This window comes from Homo sapiens, chromosome 2 (assembly GCF_000001405.40).
Source record: "Homo sapiens chromosome 2, GRCh38.p14 Primary Assembly".
In the NCBI taxonomy this organism is placed as follows: Eukaryota; Metazoa; Chordata; class Mammalia; order Primates; family Hominidae; genus Homo; species Homo sapiens.
Genome location: NC_000002.12, coordinates 38,682,431 through 38,706,919, shown reverse-complemented (window position 1 = coordinate 38,706,919; position 24,489 = coordinate 38,682,431). Strand labels below are relative to the sequence as shown.

General features: G+C 44.0%; 1 protein-coding gene and 1 long non-coding RNA gene across 5 annotated transcripts in view, besides 1 other annotated feature; one reads left to right on the top strand and one right to left on the bottom strand.

Moving 5' to 3' along the window:
• Positions 1–23,037, top strand: part of LOC124905993 (uncharacterized) — a 49,668-nt gene extending 26,631 nt beyond the window's left edge. The window contains exons 2-3 of one of the 2 annotated variants that reach the window (XR_007086292.1): positions 9,550–9,683; positions 21,246–23,037. This is a non-coding gene — a long non-coding RNA (uncharacterized LOC124905993). Of the gene's footprint in view, positions 1–9,549; positions 9,684–11,827; positions 11,968–21,245 lie in introns of those variants that run through there. The other variant, XR_007086291.1, reaches the window with a different exon arrangement.
• The window catches only part of GALM (galactose mutarotase), a 68,652-nt gene that overhangs the window by 27,846 nt on the left and 16,317 nt on the right, over positions 1–24,489 (bottom strand). The window contains exons 4-6 of one of the 3 annotated variants that reach the window (XM_011532540.3): positions 17,026–17,107; positions 8,484–8,554; positions 4,615–7,383 (exon numbers count right to left, since the gene is read on the bottom strand). In XM_011532540.3, coding sequence (XP_011530842.1) covers positions 8,523–8,554; positions 17,026–17,107 — 114 coding nt within the window. In that variant the 3' untranslated portion in view covers positions 4,615–7,383; positions 8,484–8,522. Of the gene's footprint in view, positions 1–4,614; positions 7,384–8,483; positions 8,555–17,025; positions 17,108–24,489 lie in introns of those variants that run through there. The other 2 variants (XM_047443419.1, NM_138801.3) reach the window with 2 other exon arrangements.
• Positions 13,899–14,193: a silencer, noted in NCBI's record as "tiled region #4561; K562 Repressive DNase matched - State 5:Enh". NCBI's record gives its function as "represses a minimal TATA promoter and a strong SV40 promoter by Sharpr-MPRA in K562 cells {active_cell/tissue: K562}" and the evidence as "EXISTENCE:reporter gene assay evidence [ECO:0000049][PMID:27701403]".

The following is a 24,489-nucleotide window of genomic DNA, read 5'->3' as shown; positions in this document are numbered from 1 at the left end:
CATCTCTTGCTTGGACTATTAAAATAGCGACCCCCCCGCCCCCCTTTTTTTTTTAAAGAGATGGAGTCTCACTATGTTGCCGAGACTGGATTTGAACTCCTAGATTCAAGTGTTCCTCCTGCCTCTGCCTCCTGAGTAGCTGGGACTACAGGTACACACCATTGTGCCCAGCTCCAACAACAGCATCTAAACTGGTCTCTGTCTCCAGTCAAGTCCCACCAGAACAGTTGCTGGGGTGATATTTCTTTGTTTCTGAAACAGAATCTCCCTCTGTCACCCAGGCTGGATCACAATTCACTGCAAACTCCACCTCCCTGGCTCAAGGAATCCTTGAGCCTCAGCCTCCCGAGTAGCTGAGACTACAGGTGTGGGCCACCGCACCTGGCTAATTTTTTTTTTTTTTTTTTTGTAGAGATGGGGTCTCGATATGTTGCCCAGGCTGGTCTCGAACTCCTGGGCTCAAGCAATCCACCTGCCTCGACCTCCCAAAGTGCTGGGATTACAGGTGTGAGCCACCACGCCCAACCTGGGGTGAGATTTCTAAAATGCCAATCTTGACAGGTCAGTTCCCAGCTTAGAATGCTTGAAAGCCCTCCATGATCTAAAGTTAAAATTCCAGCTGGGTGTGGTGGCTCACGCCTGTAATCCCAGCACTTTGGGAGGCAGAGGTGGGTGGATCACGAGGTCAGGAGTTCAAGACCAGCCTGGCCAACATCGTGAAACCTCGTCTCTCCTAAAAATACAAAAATTAGCTGGGCAGGGTGGCGGGCACGTGTAATCCCAGCTACTTGGGAGGTAAAGCAGGAGAATCGCTTGAACCTGGGAGGCGGAGGTTGCAGTGAGCCAAAATCGTGTCACTGCACTCCAGCTTGGGCAACAGAGTGAGACTTTGTCTCAAAAAAAAATCAGCCTGATGTGGTGGTGCACGCCTGTAATCCCTGCTACTCGGGAGGCTGAGGTGGGAGAATAGCTTGAACCCAGAGCGGGAAGTTGGACCACTGAACCCGGAGGGGGAGGTTGCGCCACTGCACTCCAGCCTGGGCGACAGCACAAGACTCCGTCAAAAATAAAAAATAAAAAAAATCCCAGCTCATCGGCATGGCCCAGAAAGACAATCATGACTGTACCCAACTGTAGGGCTGGGCAAATGAGGTGCCTAGGGTGCAAAATTTAAGAAGACACACACTCTCAGGTGCTGACCCTGCACATGCACGACCCTGGGAGTGGATGCTGCCTTAAATTTTGCACCCTAGCCCTTGCTCTGCCCAACTGTCTCTTTGGCTTATTGGCTTAACAGTCATCACCACTCCTGCATTCTGTGCTTTGGTACTCTCACTCTCCTTGTGGCTAGATCCTCACAGACACTGAGAGGCTTCTCACAGCTCAGGACAATCTTGAGAATCCTCTTTCTACCCTGGCTTCTACACTCCTTCAGTCCCACAGGCATTATCTCTACAACTGCTCTGACCACATTAGGTTCTCCCCATCCCTCTGAGCTTCTCAAGGGCAGAGACAGTGTTCCATCCTCTTTATCTCTCAGGCAGCATGTAGCAATCAGTAGGTGCTCTATAAATGTTAGCTGAACTGAATACAAATCTGCTCTGGGAACTTACTTGAGTTAACATCAGGTCCGTTGCCCAAGGCCCACAGTCCCACTAAGCCCCTTCAGAATGTAGTGACCACTAAGGATGGCTATGCACCAGGAATGAACTAGAGGCAGCCCTTGTCCAGACCTGGGCTGGAGGAAGGGTAGATGTGAACCATCAACTCTCCAAGGGTGGTGGTCAGAGCTCTAGCAAATAATTCCCCTTCTGACAAATTCACTGACTGTTAGCCTGCAATTTTCACAGGAATTACACATCGCCTGGCCAAGTGCTAAATTTTGAGCTTTCTTCCTGCCAGATTTCTACCATGCTGGTTCATGTTTGCCAATCTTGTAACAGTAATGTGTTTTCCAGTAGGGAGCATGAGTAGCTTCAGGAGTTATTCTAGAGGCTCATAAAAATGATCTTGTGACCATTTTACAGGAAGGATTCAGTAATGTGCCGTCTTAAAGAATACCACTGCTACCAAGAGAGGTCCTTGGAGTTTTTGCATTAAACCTTGAATACTATCTAGCAGGGACCTATCATACAATAAACAGCTCTAGGGTAAACACATTTCATAGGGTCCAATGTCATGAGTTTAACTTTTTTACTGTTGTCCAAGTACTTTCTTATCTGTAGCCTTACTTTTTTTTTTTTTAATGGAGACAGAGTCTTGCCGTGTCACCAAAGCTAAGTGCAGTGCCCAATCATAGCTCAATTTGCCTTGAACCCCTGGGTTCAAGCAATCCTCTGCCTCAGCCTCATAAGTAGCTGGGACTACAGGTGAATGCCACTGGGCCTGGCTAATTTTTTGATTCTATTTTTTTGTAGTAAAAATGGGGTCTCTCTGTATTTCTCAGGTTCTTGAACTCCTGGACCCAATCAATCCTCCCGCCTTAGCCTCTCAAAGTTCTGGGATTAAAGGCATGAACCACTGTGCCCAGCCTCAAAAAAAATATTTTTTAAATTAGCTGAGCATGATGGGGGCATGCCTGTGATCCTAGCTATGCAGGAGGCTGAGGTGGGATGACCGCGTGAGCCCAGGAGGCCAAGGCTGCAGTGAGCTATAATTGCACCACTGCACTCCAGCCTGGATAACAGAGTGAGACCCTGTCTCTAAAAAAAAAAATAATAAAATAATAAAAAGAGAATACATAGTAGGGCAACCATAGACTATCATTACTTTGAAAGAGGAAAAAAGATAAGAAAACCCCCTTTGTGGGCCAAGGTGATGCAGCAAGTTCACAAAGGATTTTACATAGAATTTATTTTATTTTATTTTATTTTATTTATTTATTTATTTATTCATTTATTTTTTGAGACAGCGTTTCTCCCTGTCTCCCAGGTTGGAGCACAGTGGCACGATCTTGGCTTACTGCAACCTCTGCCTCCTGGGTTCAAAGCAATTCTTGTGCCTCAGCCTCCTGAGTAGCCGGGACTATAGGCACATGCCACCACACCCAGCTGATTGTTTTTGTATTTTCACAGAGAGGGGGTTTCAACATGTTGCCCAGGCTGGTCTCGAACTCCTGATCTCAGGCAATCTGCCCACCTCAGCCTCCCAAAGTGCTGGGATTACAAGCGTGAGCCACCACGCCCAGCCTTGGATTTTATATAGAATTTAAAGAGCTCATGATCCCCTTGAAGTTCTTTCATCATCTTCCCAGACATACAAGAACCCTAGTTAAGAATATCTGGGTTAGAGATTCTGTGCGGTCTTTGAATCAGGGTGTAAGAAATGGACAGGACCTCAGAGTTCAATGAATATAATCCTCATCAAGTCAGATTTTACAGATTCAGTCAATGAGGCCCAGAGAATTTTCATGGCTGACTCATAGCATAGCTAGTGGATGGCAGAACGGAGACCTATATCTTGGTTTTCTGAATCCCAGTTCTCACACAGTGTTGGGCTAATATACCGTGTTTAAGGCTGGGTGCGGTGGCTCACGCTTGTAATCCCAGCATTTTGAGAGGCCAAGGTGGGTGGATCACCTGAGGTCGGGAATTAGAGACCAGCCTGACCAACATGAAGAAACCTGTCTCTACTAAAAATACAAAATTAGCCAGGCATGGTGGTGCATACCTGTAATCCCACCTACTTGGGAGGCTGAGGCAGGAGAATCGCTTGAACCTGGGAGGCAGAGGTTGCGGTGAGCTGAGATCGCACCATTGCAATCCAGCCTGGGCAACAAGAGCAAAACTCTGTCTCAAAAAAAAAAAAAAAAAAAAAAAAAAAAAAAATATATATATATATATATATATATATATATATATATATAAAATCCCACATATCATCCCACCTCAGCCTCCCAGCCTCCTGAGTAGCTAGGATCACAGGCACACCCCACCATGCCCAGCTAATTAAAAAAAAAATTACACATATTATATATATATATATATAAAAAGTATATATATATAAATAAAGTGTATATATATATATAGTGTTTAAAACAAATGTAAAGGAGAGAGGAGTGTGGAGAGACTGGCTGGGGGCAAAATAAGCAATAGTTAATTCCTAGGATGTATAGGTTGGCTATTACTCAGCTTCATTTTTGTGTTCAGTATAGATTAGTTTTCTAGCTTCAACCCGAAGAGACCAAGCCTGAAGCTCCCTTCTAGCTCCCTACTTTGGATCTGTGACTAAATCCTGATGGATTATCTGAGCAAGCTCTGTGGAGAGGCAGATAGCAGAGACTGGCCACATCATGAATTCTAAATGGCTGATGTCATTACAAAAACCATAAGCAAGAAAGAATCTACAGTTTCCAGAAAGTGGGGGGAAAAGTTTCTAAGGAGAAAGTATGACTCTTGAAGAAGGAGGGTAAGGGTCATGTAGCAAAGAAGAGGTTATTGGGTGGTCTCTGTAGGCTGGGGGTGGGAAAGGGATGCACAGCAGGGTGGGGTGTGAGGGAGGCATGCTCGGAGATCATTTTTGTTTTTGTTTTTTGACCAGTGAAATGTTCAATTTTTTTTTTAAGTTTTAAAATTTTTAAATTTTTATTTTTTTGATCAGTGAAATGAGAGATGGTTTTGGGGAGGCCTGAGAGCCGTCTAAGAGGTTTATTAACCTGGAGATTATCAAAGTAAGATTTGCATTTTAGATAGATGCTTTTACATGGAAGATAGATCTTAAGATTTTTTTTTTTCCAGTTAGGTGTTAGAGTGCAGTTGTCCAGATTATGAATCATTCATTCATTGATCCCACTTTATGAAGCCCATAATATAAGCCAGGCACTAATCTAGACAAGAAAAGATAGTCTAAAGCAGCACAGTGAAAATGGAGATGGAGTTATATAACCAACAATACATACTGAGGAGACAGATTTGAGAAATGCTTAGGAGTTAAAAATCAGTAGGACCTGATGACTAATTAAGGCAGTGGGGAGTGAAATGGAAAGAGTAAGGATACTGACAGATGCTTGAAACAAATATGTCCAATATTTTAGAATTATATAATAAATTTAAAGGAATTTTCTGTCAGGAGCTCCAGAAAGATTAACACCCAAATGCTAATACATAAAGATCAAAACAGCCTTCGTTTGCAACATCTTTGAATGAGGAGACTACTTTGGACTTTGCTATTTCTCCAAGGCAGAGATAGAGACCTGCCCCAGGGAGGTAATTATATCATCTGCCGAATTGTAGGTTTAACCGACAGAGGTTGAAATAAAATACAAAAGTCTTGCTGGGCCTCTCTCCACAGCCTCATGGCAAGCGTTTCCTACCAGAATTCTAATTTTGTCAAAATGGGGTTGCTTTGATGTAATTTTAGAATAAGCTTTTAAAAACTGAGAGCAGCAAGAACAGCAAGTGAACACAGATGGGCTGGGGGACAGAGTGAATTGGGTAAATTTTATAAGAATAAAAAAGAAGAGGGGATTTTACTAATGCTACTTTCAAAGGCAAAAGACCTAGTCAAAGCACTCATTTTTGCTTTCTTAATTCCTTATCTACTACTACAAATAAAGAGCAGCAAAATTATAAGGAAAAAAAAAACTGTGTGCTGTAAATGCCTTTAAAGACACATCCTTAGTAGTGCACTGTATTGTATACATCATAATGTCTTGCTGGGCAGGCTGCCCAGCTCACCTCCTAATTCTACAGTTCTGTGAGGTGAAAGGTGAAATGTAATATTTACAATCCTGAGAATGAATTAATCCCTGGCAAAATAGAAGGATTTGATTTTCTCATCTGCTCACATCTAGCTGGTGTAATACTTAAGCAGGGTACCAGGGATCTGTTTCTACTTGTTGCCACAGGGCAGGGAACTAGAATCAGGTCCTGAAGCTAAATGCCTGACATGTCTCAGACAAATAAAAACTGACAGAATTCATCACCACTAGACCAGCCTTATAAGAAATGCTCAAGGGAGTCCCACATCTGGAAGTGAAATGATAATTACTATCAAGAAAACACAAAAAAGTAGAAAACTCACTGGTAGAGCACATACACAAAGGAGAAAGAGAAAAGAATCAAATTTTACCACTACAGAAAACCACCAATCACAAGGATGAACAATAAGAGGGGAAGAAAGGAACAAAGGATATATTTAAAAAAACAGAAAATAATTAACAAAATGACAGAAGTCCTCACCTATCAATAATAATCTTGAATGTAAACTTATTAAACTTCCCCCCTTAAAATATATAGACTGGCTGAATGGATTAAAAAACATGGCCCAACTACGGTTGCCTACAAGAAACTCACTTCATCTGTAACGACACACATAGACTGAAAGGGTGGAAAAAGATATTCCATGCAAACAGAAACCAAAAGCAAGCAGGGTAGCTGTACTTGTATCAGATGAAACAGACGTCAAGTAAAAAACGATTAAAAAAAAGAAAAAGGTTATTATATAATGATAAAGGGATCAATTCAGTAAGAGGAGGTAACAATTCTAAATATATATGCACCCAACACTGGAGCGCCCAGATACATAATATAAAGCAAATATTATTAGATCTAAAGGGAGACATAGACACCAATACAATAGCTGGGGAATTCAACACCCCATTCTCTGCACTGAACAGATCATCTAGACAGAAAATCAACAACAAAACACTAGATTTAAACTGCACTTTAGGCTGAGCGCGGTGGTTCACATCTGTTATCCTAGTACGTTGGGAGGCTGAGGTGGGCGGATCACTTGAGGCCAGGAGTTTAAAACCAGCCTGGTCAACATGGTAAAACCCTGTCTCTACTAAAAATACAAAAATTAGCTGGGTGTGGTGGCGGGCACCTGTAATCCCAGCTACTTGGCAGGCTGAGGCACGAGAATTGCTTGAACCTGGGAAGTGGAGGTTGCAGTGAGTCAAGATCATGCTACTGCACTCCCAGCCTGGGCAACAGAGTGAGACTCTCTCAAAAAAACAAAAAACCCTGCATTTTAGACTAACAAAGAGACATTTACAGAACATTTCATCCAACAGATTCAGAAAACACATTATTTCATCAGCACAAGAAACATTTTCCAGAATAGACCATATGTTAGCCCACAAAACAAGTCTCAACAAATTTAAAATAATTGAAATTATATCGAGTATCTTTCCTGACCACAGTGGAATAAAACTAGAACTCAACAGCGAGGTGAACTTTTGAAATTGTACAAATACACAGAAATTAAACAATATGCTCCTGAATGATCAGTGAAGAAAATTTTAAATATTCTTCTCTTTTCTTTTTTAAGATGGTTCTTGCTATGTTGTCCAGGCTGGTCTTGAACTCCTGACCTCAGGTGATCAGTCCACCTCGGCCTCCCAAAGTGCTGGGTTTACAGGCATGAGCCACCGCACACAGCCTAAAGGTTGTTTAATGTTAATAAAAGTACAGCTAGATAGGGGGAATAAGTGCTAGTGCTCTAAAGCACTATAGGGTGACTATAATTAACAACAACTTATTGTATATTTTCAAATAGCTAGAACAGCAGATTTTGAATGTCCCAACACAAAAAAATGATAAATGTTTGAGGTGATGGATATGCTAATTACCCTGATTTGATCCTTATACATTGTAAACATGTATCAAAATATCCCAGTGTACCCTGTAAATATGTATTAGGTATCAATAAAATATGTATTAGATATCAAGTATTAGGTATCAATTAAAAATAATAACAGCTGGGGCCAGGTACGGTGGCTCATGCCTGTAACCCCAGCACTTTGAGAGGCCGAGGTGGGCAGATCACCTAAAGTTAGGAGTTCGAAACCAGCCTGGCCAACATGGTGAAACCCCGTCTCTACTAAAAATACAAAAATTAGCTGGGCATGGTGGTGGGCGTTTGTAATCCCAGCTACTCGGGAGGCTGAGGCAGGAGAATTGCTTGAACCCAGGAGGCGGAGGTTGCAGTGAGCCGAGGATGTGCCATTGCACGCCAGCCTAGGCAACAAGAGCAAAACTCTGTCTCAAAATAATAATAATAATAACAGCTGGACACAGTGGCTCATGCCTGTAATCCCAGCACTTTAGGAGGCCGAGGTGGGAGGATCACTTGAGAGCTCAGGAGTTCAAGATCAGCCTGGGCAACATAGTGAGACCCCATCTCAAAAACAAACAATATATAAACAAATGTCTGACAAAGCAGCACAGGGATCTGGCACTGCAGTGTTCTCTGTCTCTGGACATCCATTATCTACACCCCTGTCCTTTCTGGGAAACAGCTTCAGGGAGTTCTACTTCTGGGAAATTACAGGGACAGCCCTGACAACAATAAACATAGAAAACACATGCCAGAGGGACTCATATGCCCAACAACAGAGTGTGCTCCCATCCTATGGAGCAGCAAATGCTTTATGGGTGTCATTTTTTTCCTTTTTTTTTTTTTAAGTAGCTAAGAATAATTGCTCTGAAGACGCAGAGCTAAATTAACTGCTAACATCCAAACACAGCCTGACAGTGTACCTGCAAACTTTGCTCCTGGTCCATGGGTAAAAGGAGCTCTCAGCCTTGCAGAAACCTTCTGTTGGTGCCACCTGCCATGGGACAGGAAAGAAGCACCTGTGAGCAAGGGCTATGCACTCAATACACCACTGCTGACTCCTAAGTGCCGGAATTTCATCTACAGAGGTAGCTTTAGAAGTTAGGTGATGAATTCTATTCATTTATTTAAAATATATATATAATCCCAGCACTTTGAAAGGCTGAGGTGAGCAGATCACTTGAGGTCAGGAGTTTGAGACCAGCCTGGGCAATATGGTGAAACCCCATCTCTACTAAAAATACAAAAATTAGCTGGCCGTGGTGGTGCGCACCTGTAGTCCCAGCTAATTGGGAGGCTGAAGCAAGAGGATCATTTGAACCCGGAAGGCGGAGGCTGCAGTGGGCCGAGACTGCACCACTGTACTTCCAGCCTGGTGATGGAGTGAGACTCTGTCTAAAAAAAAAAAACCCCAAAACCCAAAATTGCCAACAGGAAGAAGGCAGGAGCAAAACAGGTGCTCATGGCTGCCAAAGATTTGTGGGTCCTGCCTGGGGTAGAGGTCTAAATGCCGGCTCTGCATTGAAGACGTAAGGGAATTTCTTTGTCTTGCTCTTGCTCTGGCTCCCTGTAACTGCATACCATGGTATCTCTTTTCTTTCTAGGTGATAATGCCCCATCCATAAGTGGGTTACTAACAAAATGGAGGACAGGACGTCACTCCTCCCCAAACACCTACAGGGGGAAGGTCCCCTTTTACTGAGCACTGTGGCCACAATTTTAACAGTTACTGCAAAATAAAAGTTGCTACATTCTCATGATGATGTGTTTTCCCATCACCTGAAAAATTATTTACCGAGTGTCTGTAGCCAGGGTGAAAAACACCCCTAAAGTTTAGATATGCATCAGTATTTCCCTCAAGAATAGCACACGTTAAAACTTTTATAAAGAGAAAACAAAAATAAGGAGTTGAAAAACATATAAGTATAAATTAATAGCCACAAAAGGGAGAAGTTAAAGAGAGACTATGAAAACATCTTTGTCTTGCAGAAAGATACAATCTGAGAAGCAACCCTGCAGGACTTGGCTGAAAGTCAACAGGCGGCTGATCAAATGAAGCAATAGAAGCTGTGTAATTTGTCACATCAAGCACCTGCGACAAACCCACGCACAATCCGAGGAATGTAGGTGATCTGACAAAAGGCCTTATGTTTAAAATTTACCCTAAGTTTCCCTAAATCCATCACAAATTTCCCCACATAAGCCACTTTTTCAGACACAGTTTAACTATCTTTTCTTGTGACACTAGGTGCATTTGAAGAGTTCTTGGGGGCCGGGTGCAGTGGCTCATGCCCATAATCCCAGCACTTTGGGAGGCCACAGCAGGTGGATCACTTGAGGTCAGGAGTTCGAGACCATCCTGGCCAACATGGTGAAACCCCCTCTCTACTAAAAATACAAAAATTAGCCGGGCGTGGTGGCATGTGCCTGTAATTCTAGTTACTCGGGAGGCTGAGGCGGGAGGATTGCTTGAACATGGGAGGCAGAGGTTACAGTGAGCTGAGATCGCGCCACTGCACTCCAGCCTGGTTGACAGAGCAAGACTCTGTCTCAAAAAAAAAAAAAAAAAAAAAAAAAAGCTTTCTTGGGGGTAGGTGCGGTGGCTCACGCCTGTAATCCTAGCACTTTGGGATGCTAAAGTGGAAGGATGGCTTGAGGCAGGGAGTTTGAGACCAGCCTGGGCAACATAGTGAGACATCATCTCTGCCAAAAAAGAAAAAAAAATCCATGTTGAGACATTTTCGTGTAAAAAAAGAAAAAATTACCTGGGTATGGTGATGTGCACCTGTAATCCTAGCTATTTGGAAGGCGGAGCCAGGAGGATTGCTTGAGCCCCAGAAGTTTGATGTTACAGTGAGCTATGATTGTGTCACTGTTTCAGCTTGGGCAACAGAAAGAGACCCTGTCTCAAAAAAAAAAAAAAAAAGAAAAGAAAAAGAAAAGCTGGACACAGTGGCTCATGCCTGTGATCCCAGCACTTTGGGAGGCTAAGGCAGGTGGATCACCTGAGGTCAGGAGTTCAAGACCAGCCTGACCAACATGGTGAAACCCCATCTCTACTAAAAATACAAAATTAGCCAGGTGTGGTGGCACATGCCTGTAATCCCAGCTACTTGGGAGGCCAAGGCAGGAGAATCGCTTGAACCCGGGAGGTGGAGGTTGCAGTGAGCTGAGATCACGCCATTGCACTCCAGCCTGGGCAACAAGAGCGAAACTCTGTCTCAAAAGAAAAAAAAAAATCTCTACACTTTTTTTACTGTTATAGTGACAATAATAGAGGCTTTTCTCTCCAGGAGCTCTAAGTGAAATTAATGAGAAATCTCATGACCCTAAGAAGAGAGATTTAAAAAACAAACACGCAGGCGGGGTGTGGTGGCTCACACCTGTAATCCCAGCACTTCGGGAGGCTAAGGCGGGTGGATCACTTGAGGTCAGGAGTTCAAGATCAGCCTGGTCAACATGGTGAAACCCCATTTCTACTAAAAATACAAAAATTATCCGGGTATGGTGGCATGCGCGCCTGTAGTCCCAGCTACTCAGGAGGCAGAGGCAGGAGAAGCACTTGAACCCGGGAGGTGGAGGTTGCTGCAGAGAGCTGAGATCGAGCCACTGCACTCCAGCCTGGGCAACAGAGTGAGACTCCGTCTCAAAAAACAAACAAGCAAACAAACAAGCAAACAAACAAAACCACACACACATAAACAAGGATTTGGGGTGGAAAGCAGAGGACTAGGATGGTAAGCAAAATAACTGATTTACGCAGTAAAAGTCATTCATATGCAAAAAGGCCAAAGCTGTTTTAGAGAAGTTTTCTACTGTTGATTTCTGAGGGTTTCAGCACAACCAAGCAGCCACCCCAGGAAAAGCCAGGTAGAGCAAAGGGTCTAAAACGAACTCATTATCCAGCATCTCCCCAGGATAAATGAAGTACCCACCATAAGGGACTGCTCCAGATAGCTGAACGCCACCCTGTAAATGGTACAGCTTTTCTTTAACTGTGTCTGTAAGTTTGCTTTCTTTTTTTGAAACTTTATTTATTTATTTATTTAATTTATTTATTTTGAGACTGGGCTGTGAGATTGGCTAATTTTTGTATTTTTGGTAGAGATGGGGTTTCACTGTGTTGCCAAGGCTGGTCTCAAAGTCTTGGGCTCAAAAATCCAACCGCCTCCACCTCCTGAAGTGCTGGGATTACAAGCATGAGACACTGCACCCGGCCTGTTTGTAAATTTTCTACCGAAGGTGATTTTTCTATCATTTTCAACAGAGATGACCAACATACATACTTAAAGAATGTGAACTTTCAACACAACTTGTTCATAACAAGATTCTGCATATGAGAAAACCAAGAACCAGAAAGACAAGGGATCTGTCAGGAACACCATATGCTGCAACAGAACAATGACACCTGAGGTGACTTTCCCTTGACTTTCCCTTTCTTTTTTTGTTTTTTTTTTTTTTTTGAGACGGAGTCTTGCTCTGTTGCCCAGGCTGGAGTGTAGTGGCCCGATCTTGGCTCACTGCAACCTCCACCTCCCGGGTTCACGCCATTCTCCTGCCTCAGCCTGCCGAGTAGCTGGGACTATAGGCGCCTGCCACCACGCCTGGCTAATTTTTTTGTATTTTTAGTAGAGACGGGGTTTTACCATGTTAGCCATGATGGTCTCGATCTCCTGACCTCGTGATCCATCCGCCTCGGCCTCCCAGAGTGCTGGGATTACAGGCTTGAGCCACTGCGCCCAGCCTGACTTTCCCTTTCTTGTCAGACTGACAAGGCCAGACACTTAAATTCATGCTCTTTAATTTCAAGAAAACCTCTCCCTCCTTCCCTTTTTCCTTTCCTTCCTTCCTCTTTCTCTCTCTCCCTTTCTTATATTTAATTTAAACAAACTTGGTTTCCTGTTTTCTTTGCAGAAAAGTAGAAATAAATTGAAGGGAGGAAGGAACAAGGAGGAGACAGTGAGAGGACTGGGGAGGCTCCCTGTACAAAAGGTGGCAAAAGAGCTGAGGATTGACAGCTGGCAAAAGTCTGTTCTTTGTTTTGGCTTACTTCTCATTTATTGACTATATGTTGCACTTGGGTATTTATATAGTAAAGAAATTAATTTACTTTTCTTTTCTTTCTTTCCTCACTCCTTTCTGCCTCTCCCCTACCTCCCAAATCTTCTTCTTTTTTTTTGAGACAGGGTCTTGCTCTTCACCCACATTGAAGTGCAGTGGCACAATCACAGCTCACTGCAGCCTTGACCTCCTGGGCTCAAGCAATTGTCTTACCTCAGCCTCCCAAATAGCTGGGACCACAGGCATGCACCAACACTCCTGGCTAATTCAAAAAAATGTTTTGTATTAACAGGGTCTCCCTATGTTGCCCAGGCTGCTCTTGAACTCCTGGGCTCAACCAATCTTTGGTCTCCCAAAGTGCTGGGATTAAAGGTGTGAGCCACTGTGCCTGGCACCAAACCTTCTTGACATCTAACCACATTGTAAGATCTGTAGAGTGCAGGTCTACTTAAGAGCCTGAGTTCTAATACCAGACTACCTTGGTGTGAATCCCGGCTTTCCCCAACTTGTTAACTGGGTCATCCTCTGTAAGGTACTTTAACTCCTTGTTCTATAGTTTTCACATCTGTTAAATAAGAAAAATGAACAGAACCTACCTTACAGGCTTGTGGTATGAATTATTTATAAAGTCCTCCCTGAAATACTAGCTATTATTATCATAAAGCTTCACCTTATCTCACAGATAATCAGTATCTTCTTTTTCTCAATTCAACAAAACCACAGTCGGTAGATAGTGCATATTTATTTTGAGAAGTCTTAATGGAGTATGGCTGGTCTAACAGGTTATTTTCTCTCTCTCTTTTTTTTTTTTTTTTGGAAGCAGAGTCTCGCTCTGTTTCCCAGGCTGGAGTAAAGTGGCGTGATCTGGGCTCACTGCAACCTCTGCCTTCTGGGTTCAAGCGATTCTCCTGCCTCAGCCTCCCAAGTAACTGGGATTACAGGCGCCTACCATCACACCCAGCTAATTTTTGAATTTTTAGTAGAGACAGGGTTTCACCATGTTAGCCAGGCTGGTCTCGAACTCCTGATCTCAAGTAATTTGCCCACCTCGGCCTCCCAAATTGCTGGGATTACAGGCATTAGCCACTGCACCCGACCTGGTCTAACAGGTTCTTGTAGCACGTCTCAGGAAAGTGGCCTTGTGGTTCAGTCCAGCTCTGGCAGAACACGCTGAAGTTTGAGACTGGACTCAGGCACACCTGTGAGTCAGCTATGTGGATCGGCCTTGAGCTCCAGGCCAGCCTGGGGCCACCCAGGGCCACCCTAGGGATTGCAGTTCCACAGAGCCTGGTACAGATCTGACATGGCCCCAATCAACCTCTCCAGGCCCATCCACTCTCTGCCACTAAAATTATGCCCCAAATGCTTTGCTTCAAAAGCACAGCACTTCCCTGGGCTAGTCCTGCTATTTCTTGCACCGCCCACGCTTGTTCATCTTTATCTGGAACACCTTTCTCCTCCTCACTCCCTGGCAAACTTCCACTTTCCCTTCCAGGTTTTATTTAACTCTCATTTCCTCTATCTGGAAGCCCCCTCAGCAGTGCCTGCCCTCTGTGCCAAGTCTCCTAGTTATGTCTATCCTGATATTTTCCAGATTAATGGACACAATTCTGGCTGACCCTTCCCATAGACTGCCAACTCCTAGAGAGCCCAGCAGCACTTCTGAGTGATCAAATGATGGGCAAGCCTTTTGGATTTCTTTCAAAATTAAGCTCATGGGCTTTTGATCAGTGTTAAGAGTCAGATGAGGACCAGCATGGTGGCTCACACCTGTAATCCCAGCACTTTGGGAGGCCCAGGTGGGAGGATTGCTTGAGCCTAGGGATTCAAGACCAGCCTAGGCAACATAGGGAGACCCTGTCTCTACAAAACAGAAAGAAAAAAAGAGAGAAAATCTGGGCTCCTAGAGATTTGTTCTCAGTGGAAAGTGGGCCAGACATGTGAATTCTTACATTCCTAAAGTGCAGGGTAGCAGTTACTACCACCCATTTTTGGAGGAAGTTTCAAAGGAATCAGACAATTAGCTTGTTTCTTAAGGACTTCTGAGAAAAGAGAAAACAATACTACAATTTCTGCTTAAGTGTCACTCGGCAAACAGGTATAACATGTAGGTCTGACTCAAGTATGGATAGGTAGGAGAGAATTACAAATTTTTCATGAGCTCTGAAGTTGCAGCAACTTATTTACTTCAATGATAGAGCTCTAAAGGATTTGAAGAGTTGTGGAAATAGCAGTAAAATGTCATGCTAGGAGCCTCGTAGAATTGGAGAATGCAAGAGAGAGAAGTGGCCTTACAGATCAATTACTAGTTCTGAATTATGAGTTAGTGATAACATTTTCACTGGTCCCCAGAAAACTGAGATACGTTTGGATAATCTGCTATTTATTTTTTTTATAGTATTGGCTCCAAGTGGTACCATATTATTTTTTAAAAAGCTACATAAATTCAACATAAAGAGTTGTTCCTTATTCTGAGATTAAATTTGTTTACACTTTTATGGTACTAAAATATTCTTTCATGAAAAGATGGTGATTATAAATGGTAGTTTGGTCTTTTTTAAAAAAAAAAAAAAACTACTGAAATATAACACATATATTCCCAATTAGGTTTTTTTTTGAGATAGGGTCTTGCTCTGTTGCCCAGGGTAGAGTGCAGCAGAGATCACGGCTCACTGCAGCCTCCAACTCCTGGGCTCGAGAGATCCTCCTGCTTCAGCCTCTTGAGTAGCTGGGACCCCAGGTGCGTGTTACCACACCTGGCTATTTTTTTTTTCAATTTTTTGTTGAGATGGGATCTCACTGTGTTGCACAGTCTGGTCTCGAACTCCTGGGCTCAAGTGATCCTCCTCTGCCTCAGCCTCCCAAAGTGCTGGGATTACAGGTGTGAGCCACCATACCCAGCGAACGCAAGTTTTATGCAGTCCATTAGAGTGCATGTTAAGCCTACTGTGCTTTGCCACAATGATTTTTTACAATCAAGTAAAATAACTTGGCCTTTACAGGCCTTTAAATGCACAAATTATGCCCTGTTGTGATTTTCATCTGATCAACTCAACCGGATAGCATGAGAAGATTTTATAAATATACACAAATAAATATGCACTTATTTCATAACCTCCACTTATAAGCTAATTGATTCACTTTCTTCCTTATCAGTCACAAAACAGCAGCCACCACTATTTTTTCCTTGCAGTTCACAACATATAGTTCTACTGCAGTAATTCTGCCTCTAGGACCAGATGGGCCAGCTTACTCATGCCCTTCTATTGAGTCATGTAAATATCACAAGATGACACATGCTACCAAGACAAACAGAAAAGCCTTTAAACTCAGCCCTGGAGCCAGGAAAATATTCAAAAACTGTGATGCCAAAAATTTGACCCCATTGAGCTCAATTTTTCATTATTATTCCAATTAGTTTTGTAGTCACTATATTTATGGGAGTTCCTAATGCCTGCTGTTACCTGAAGTTGCTGTTGGGTATGCAGGCTCACATGCTTACCTTTCTTCCTCATAAAAAGTTTGAACTAGCAGCCATAAACTCAACCCATTAAAGAGGCCAAAGTGGCCGGGCGCAGTGGCTTACACCTGTAATCCCAGCCCTCTGAGAGGCTGAGGCGGGCAGATTGCTTGAGTCCAGGAGTTTGAGACCAGCCTGGGCAACGTGGTAAAACACTGTCTCTACTAAAAATACAACAGGCGTGGTGGTGTGTGCCTGTGGTCCCAGCTACTCAGGAAGTGGAGATGGGAGAATCATCTGAGCCTGGGGAGGAGGTCTAGGCAGCAGTGAGCTGAGATTGTGCCACTGTACTCCAGCCTGGGCAACAGAATGAGACCCTATCCCCTCCCGCACCGCCCCCCTCCCAAAAAAGCCAGCTAAAACAAAAGCTGTTACCTAGTGTAAGATGAGTATCCAGTAAAGTTATTTAAAATTTTTTTTAACTTTAGTTTCTTTTGCATTAAAAAAATTTTTTTTTAATCTTAAAAAAAAATAAGACGGGGTCTCACCATGTTGCTCAGGCTGATCTCAAACTCCTGGCCTCAAGTGATCCAACCGCCTTGGCCTCTCAAAGTGCTGGGATTACAGGCGTGAGCCACCGCGCCCAGCCCCAGTAAAGTATTATCTTACTCACCATTTTTTAAAAATTTTTGAAATTTTGAAATAATTTTAGACTTACAGAAAAGTGGTAAAAATACTGCATCTCTGTCCCAGCTTTCCCTCATGCTAACATTTTACATAAACACAGTACACATATCAAAACTAAGAAATTACCACTAGAATAATTCTATTAACTAAACTGTAGACTTTATTAAGATTTCACCGCTTTCTCCACTAATGTCCTTTCTTGGCCTCGAGAGCCAATCCATGATCCCACATAACACAAAAAGGTTAAATTCACCAACCTGTAGGAATCAGGGTTTCATCCACAGGCAAATAAGTATCCGCTTCTATGGTGACTTCATGGTCATTTATATTTGGGGAAGCCTGGGAGGAAAAGGTAGGGGAAAGGTTTTCTGCTTAGTCTTATTTCATATATTTGTTTTTTAACTTATCTTGCAAAAATGTTTTCAGGCATTGACAAAAACTTTTAAAATCTTGTTTGGCTGATGGTCATGATTAAATATAATCAACTAAGTGGAGGTAGATAAGGCCTCAAAATAGCAACAGATAAATTTGGAAGAAACTTTCAAGTGTGCATGCATTTTCTTTTCTAAATAGAATATGAAGGTGAAAAGTCAGAGACCACAGTGGTTTGAAAGCCTTTTGGACCTTGGCTTATTAGTGGAGGTGTTTCTTCTATTCTTCTCACTTGCCAGGCAAACAGAAGAGCAATGACTGGTAACCAGGAACACACACATCCTGAGAGGTCAGGGTACTGCTCCAGGCTCACTCCTGGGGGTGCACCTGGCACCCCCCTCTAGCCCAGTTTCCACACAGAGGCCCCACTCTCTGCTCCATGACAGAAGCCCAGGTGTCAGAACCGCAGTCCCTGCTTTTGAGAATTTGCCCACCTCCTCCATGAAGATGCAGCCTGGCCTTTGCAGGGGAGTCAAAGGCTGGTGTACTGGTCAGTGTCAGAAGGCCTGGGGTGTAGTTCCAGCTCTTCCTGAGTGGTCCCAGGGAATTCATTTAACCTCATAGACTCTCATTTCCTTTGGTTTAAAATTGGGCTAATGAGGCCGGGCGCGGTGGCTCATGCCTGTAATCCCAGCATTTTGGGAGGCCGAGGCAGGCGGATCACCTGAGGTCAGGAGTTCGAGACCAGCCTGACCAAAAAGAAGAAGCCCCGTCTCTACTAAAAATACAAAATTAGCCAGGTGTGGTGGCACATGCCTGTAATCTCAGCTACTCAGGAGGCTGAGGCAGGAGAATTGCTTGAACCCGGGAGGTGGAGGTTGCGGTGAGCCAAGATCGCGCGTGCCATTGCACTCCAGCCTGGGCATCAAGAGCAAAACTCCATCTCAAAATAAATAAAATAAAATAAATTTGGGCTAATGATGCCTCTACCTTTTCCAGGGTCCTTGTGAATAACAGTGTAGGAAAGGTGCATTGTGTTGTTTGCAAATCGGCAAATAACTTTATACATGCATGTTTCTAGTACAAATATTATTTTATATTATCAATAGCAACATATTTTAAAGCTTCACACCAGAAGATGTGGAAGGGAAACCAAGTGAGGGCTTTTGCTCAGTGAATGCTCAAAGATGAGCTAAACTAGTGGTTCTCAATTGGGGATAATTTTGTCTCTCAGGGGATATTTGACATTTGACTTTTTTTTTTTTTCTGAGACCGAGTTTCGCTCTTGTTGCCAAGGCCGGAATGCAATGGCGCGATCTCGGCTCACTGCAACCTCCGCCTCTCGGGTTCAAGTGATTCTCCTGCCTCGGCCTCCCTAGTAGCTGGGATTACAGGCATGCACCACCACGTCTGGCTAATTTTGTATTTTTAGTAGAGACGGGGTTTCTCCATGTTGGTCAGGCTGGTCTCGAACTCGCGACCTCAGGTGATCTGCTCACCTCGGCCTCCCAAAGTGCTGGGATTACAGGTGTGAGTCACCGCACCCAGTACACATTTTTTTTTTTTTTGAGACGGAGTCTCACTCTGTCGCCCAGGCCGGAGTGAAGTAGTGTAATCTTGGCTCACTGCAGTCTCTGCCTCCCAGGTTCAAGCAATTCTCCTGCTTCAGCCTCCCGAGCAGCTGGGATTACAAGCGTGTGCCACCACACTTGGCTAATTTTTGTATTTTTAGTAGAGATGGGGTTTCACCATGTTGGTCAGGCTAGTCTTAAACTCCTGACCTCAGGTGATCCACCCACCTCAGCCTCCCAAAGTGCTGGGATTACAGGTGTGAGGCACTGTGCCCGGCCGACTGGTTTTTTTGAGACAGGGTTAGGACAGGTTAGCTGGAAACAGATTCTATGGTCTGAAAGACTGGCCCACACAATCCAACTGAGTAATTCTGAAAAGAAAGGTCAAGATTTTAGAGACCATGAGAATGCATGTCTAAACACGACAGAAACTGGTTTAATTACACCACTAGTAGGCTCTTTTTCTGAAAAACTACGATTCTCTTTTTTTTTTTTTCGGAGGCAGAGTCTTACTGTGTCGCCCAGGCTGGAGTGCAGTGGCGCAATCTTGGGTCACTGCAACCTCCACTTCCAGGGTTCAAGCAATTCTCCTGCCTTAGCCTCCTTAAGTAGCTGGGATTACAGGTGCCCACCACCATGCTAGGCTAATTTTTGTATTTTTAGTAGAGATGGGGTTTCACCATGTTGGCCAGGCTGGTCTCGAACTCCAGACCTCAAGTAATCTGCCTGCCTTGGCCTCCCAAAGTGCTGGGATTACAGACTTGAGCCACCATGCCTGTCCAGAAGAACTATGATGCTCTTGTTTTCTCCCAGTGGGTGTGTGCTGGGCAGGGGTATGAGTGGGTGGGGGACAAAGCCAGGGCAAAGGCCTCTCCTCTGCACTTTCTACAGCTCACTCTGCTGTGAGCTGGGGCAGCAGGTCCAAGATGGGAGAGGGTCTGTACCCCTGCCTAGAGCAGGTCTAGCCTAGAGAGGATGTCTCTTCTGTGCGGCTCTCTCTCCTGCCATCCTCGCATGCCTCAGGGTGGTGCCAGCACCTGGAGATGCCCCTGGGACTGTGGGAGAGGAGCTGAGGGAAGAGAATTTGGGACTACTGTATTTCCTTGGCCCTATTTGTTCACTACTCAGCTCAACACAGAGGGCTTTGGGTCAGTCGAGACAAGGGGTGTGAAGGTTGGGTTCCAGGCCTTGGTGGCGCTAAACTGGGAGCTGCAGCCCACATACAGAGCTGAATAGTGTTAGAAAAAGAGAACCCAGGTGGACCAAAGCACCTCCATACTTCCTGTGCACAAATAAGCCTGGAGGAACACAAGCTATGTAATGTCATCCAATGAGGACACCTGCAGGAGGCAAAGCCATTCTCCAGACTCCTGGCCTAGCATTAATTCAGGTCTTCACTCTGTTTCCTAGGTGCCTGCCTCCTTAGAAACAGAAGTATGCAGTACATATTCTTTGGTGCCTTGTTATTTCCACACAACATAATGCTACTGGGATCATCCATGTTATATTCCTTTGTATTGTTGAGTAGTATTCCGTTGTATGACTGTATCACAATTTGTTTATCCATTCTCCTGTTGATAGACTTCTGGGTTGCTTCCAGTGTTTTACTATTATAAATAAAGCTGCTTAGAAATTTCCACTTTCTGGCCAGGCACGGTGGCTCATGCTTGTAATCCCAGCACTTTGGGAGGCCAAGGTGGGTGGATCACGAGGTCAGGAGATCAGACCATCCTGGCTAACACGGTGAAACCCCATCTCTACTAAAAATACAAAAAAGTAGCTGGGCATGGTGGTGGGCGCCTGTAGTCCCAGCTACTCGGGAGGCTGAGGCAGGAGAATGTCGTGAACCCGGGAGGCGGAGGTTGCAGTGAGCCAAGATCGCGCCACTGCACTCCAGCCTGGGAGACAGAGCGAGACTCCATCTCAAAATAAGAAAGAAAGAAAGAAAGAAAGAAAGAAAGAAAGAAAGAAAGAAAGAAAGAAAGAAATTTCCACTTTCTGTGGTTTTTTTTTTTTAAGCACTAGAGAAATGAATCAACATGAAAATCACACTCCAAATAAACTGATGAGCCTGAGATTTAGGAAGAAGCCTAGGAGGAGAAGGAAAAGAACATTCATCAGGCACCCACCCTCTTAAGGGTCACTGGGTCACCAAGCAGTAGTAACATTCCTTCGTTAAAGAGATGCATGCTTTGTGGCCAGGCATGGTGGCTCAGGCCTGTAATCCCAGAAGTTTGGGAGGCCGAGATGGGCGGATCACTTCAGGTCAGGAGTTCAAGACCAGCCTGGCCAACATGGTGAAACCCCATCTCTACTAAAAATACAAAAAATTAGCCAGGGGCACGTGCCTGTAATCCCAGCTACTCCAGAGGCTGAGGCGGGAGAATCCCTGGAACTTGGGAGGCGGAGATTGCCGTGAGCCGAGATTGCGCCACTGCACTCCAGCCTGGGAGACAGAGTGAGACTCCGTCTCAAAAAAATAAAAAATAAAAAATAAAAATAAAAATGCATGCTTCTTTTTATGACTCTTCTAGGCTGGAAAAACGCAATGATCTACTCTGGTGGAATATTACTGTTGGAATCATTTCCTTTCAAGGCTGATGAAAACTTGGCAAGAAATGCTGATTCACAAACAGACCTTGAGGCCCATCTCTGGGTTCAGTGTTTGTTTTGGTTAACTTTGCTTGGCTGCTACCTGTTTGTAACATTAACCATTTATAGAGCCCATTATGATTTGCAGGGGACTTTAAAGACATTGTGCAATATCACTACCACAGCCTTAACTCAGCTCTCATCACCTCTAGCAGGAGGGTACAGACACTGTGGGTTACTACCCACAAGCCATGGCAACTCTTTTACCAGCAACTCTGTGCCCCCAGGCAGAAACTAGGCTTGTTGATTTATCCTATGCTAGACCAGATATTCAGGGAAGAGGACCCACCCCCGCTCCATTTCCAGAGGGCAAATTTTGACTGGTCTAAGCCAATCATCATGGCCTAATTCCCTTGCTGGCGATTGGGTTAGGCAGAGCATAGGCCACACTTCTGGCCAATGAGAAATCAGAGAAAGTTGGCTGGAGGGCTTCTAGGAAAAGCATTGCTTTTTCTTAAAAAGAGGACATTAGAGATATGAAAAATGGAATGGGTCTTTTTGTCTCTGGATGTGACTATATGAGGAGGTGATTCCTGGAGCTGTGGCCATGAGGGGACAAGCCTGAAGACAAAAGCCAAAATACTGAGGAAGCAGATGGAAAACTGGAAGAACCTGGGTCCTTAATGACATGTCTACCTGTCATGTACCACATGCTATTGCTTTTCATCTCGAATTCCCCCAGACCTGCTTTCATAACTCTTTCGGTAAAGTTTCTGTTGTTTTTTTGTTTGTTTGTTTTTATTGTTTATAAAAACACAGTCTCACTGTGTCATCCAAGATGGAGTCCAGTGGCGCAATCTTGGCTCACTGCAACCTCCGTCTCCTGGGTTCAAGCAATTCTCATGCCTCGGCCTCCTGATTAGCTGGGATTGCAGGCATCTACCACAACGCCCAGCTAATTTTTTGTATTTTTAGTGGAGACGGGTTTTTACCATGTTGGGCAGGTTGGTCTTGAACTCCTGACCTCAAGTGATCTGCCCACCTTGGCCTCCCAAGTGCTGGGATTACAGGCGTGAGCTGCCGCACCCAGCCTGTTTGTTTGTTTTTAGAGATGGGGGATCTCTCTATGTTGCCCGGTCTGGTCTTGAACTCCTGGGCTCCAGTGATGCTCCCACCTTGGCCTTCCAAAGTGCTGGGATTACAGGCATGAGCCACCACACCCAGGTCTTTAGGTAAAGTTTCAATAAAAAAAAAGTTATCCCAGTTTTGTGTTAGGCACAGGAAGGAACAGAAAAATAAAATAAAACAAAAAACGACCTGCAACCTACATACCTTTTATATTCTTTGACAAAGCCAGTTCTCCCCTCCTCCCCAGGTCTCCAACCCTCAAACTTAGAAGTGATGAGCAATACTTGGGCCCAAATAGAACAAAAATACCACTTATTAAATTTAAAAAACAAACAAAAATATATAAGATGAGCTGACTAATTTAAATATCAGGTTTTGAGCTATGTGCCTGGGGAGGGTTTGAGATATATGATAATGCTTCTCAAGGTATGGCAAGAGATATTCTGAAGATGCAGAGGCCCTTGACTCCAGGTCTGGCTTGGTGATCATCCACTCCTACCGGAGTGCCTTGGAAGGCTGGTGCCCCCATCCACCTTCAAACCTGAAGTTAGTGGCTGTGGATTCAAGCTACGCTTACTAAGATAGAGGTTGAAAATCCCTAATCTGAAAATCTAAAATCTGGGGCCAGGTGCGGTGGCTCACGCCTGTAATCCTAGCACTTTGGGAGGCTGAAGCGGGTGGATCACCCGAGGTCAGGAGTTCGAGACCAGCTTGGGCAACATGGTGAAACCCCATCTCTACCAAAAATACAAAAATTAGCTGGGCGTGGTCGTGGGCGCCTGTAATCCCAGCTACTAGGGAAGCTGAGGCAGGAGAATTGCTTGAACCCAGAAGGTGGAGGTTGCAGTGAGCCGAGATCGTGCCACTGCATTCCAGCCTGGGCAACAAGAGTGAAACTCCACCTCAAAAAAAAAAAGAGGACAATCTAAAATCTGAAATGCTCCAAAATCTGAGCTTTTTGAGTGCCAACATGACGCTCAGAAGTAGTCACTGGAGCATTCCAGATTTCGAGTTTTCAGATTAGGAATGCTGAACAAATAAGTATATATAACGCAAATATTCCAAAATCTGAAAATCTCCAAAATCCAAAACATTTCTGGCCTCAAGTATTTTGGATAAGGGATATTCAATCTGTGGTATACGGAAGGAAGTTCATTGACCGCGCTTTTGGGTGGGGTCTATGATCTAGGAAACTATTCAGCCTCTGAAAAGAGATTCAGAAATACCCGTCACTCCAAGTCCCTGCAGGATTGGAAGAGTCGTAAAAAGCCTTAGTAAACCTAACATTCCCATATTGTCTCCTTCATTGGAACACACTGGCAGATGGAATACTGCATGCATAATTTCTCTTTTTATTTCTAATCTATTCCTTTAGATCTCCCCTCCCTATTATTAAATAGGATGTCCTAAGTATGCAAAAAATGTAAAAAACAGAATTATCACCGAGTTTTTTACCTACATAAAACAATACTTTCTTCTATTTCTGTCGTTTGTTTCTGAACTTATTTTAAGAAGTAGATCCTCTTAGGTCTGAGGGTTTTTGTTTTGTTTTTGTCTTTTGTTTCGTTTTTAAGATTTTTTTTTTTTTTTTAAAGACGGAGTTTCACTCTTGTTGCTCAGGCTGGAGTGCAATGGCGCAGTCTCAGCTCACTGCAACCTCCGCCTTCCAGGTTCAAGTGATTCTCCTGTCTCAGCCTCCCGAATAGCTGGGATTACAGGCCCACGCTACCATGCCCAGCTTATGTTGTATTTTTAGTAGAGACGGGGTTTCACTATGTTGGTCAGGCTGGTCTCAAACTCCTAACCTCAGGTGATTCACTCATCTCGGCCTCCCAAAGTGCCGGGATTACAGGCATGAGCCACAGCACCTGGCCTTGTTTTTAAGATTTCAAGAAGGATGGTGAAAGTTCCTGAGGATAAGGAACCCGCAAGTGAAGGGTCAACTTTTTTAAAGGGAGAACTTTGGAAATTTTACAAGAACCAATTAACTCTGCAATTTGGGAAAATTCTAGAAAACAGAATCCAGCAGATCATCAGCAAACTCCTGAAACAGTATAA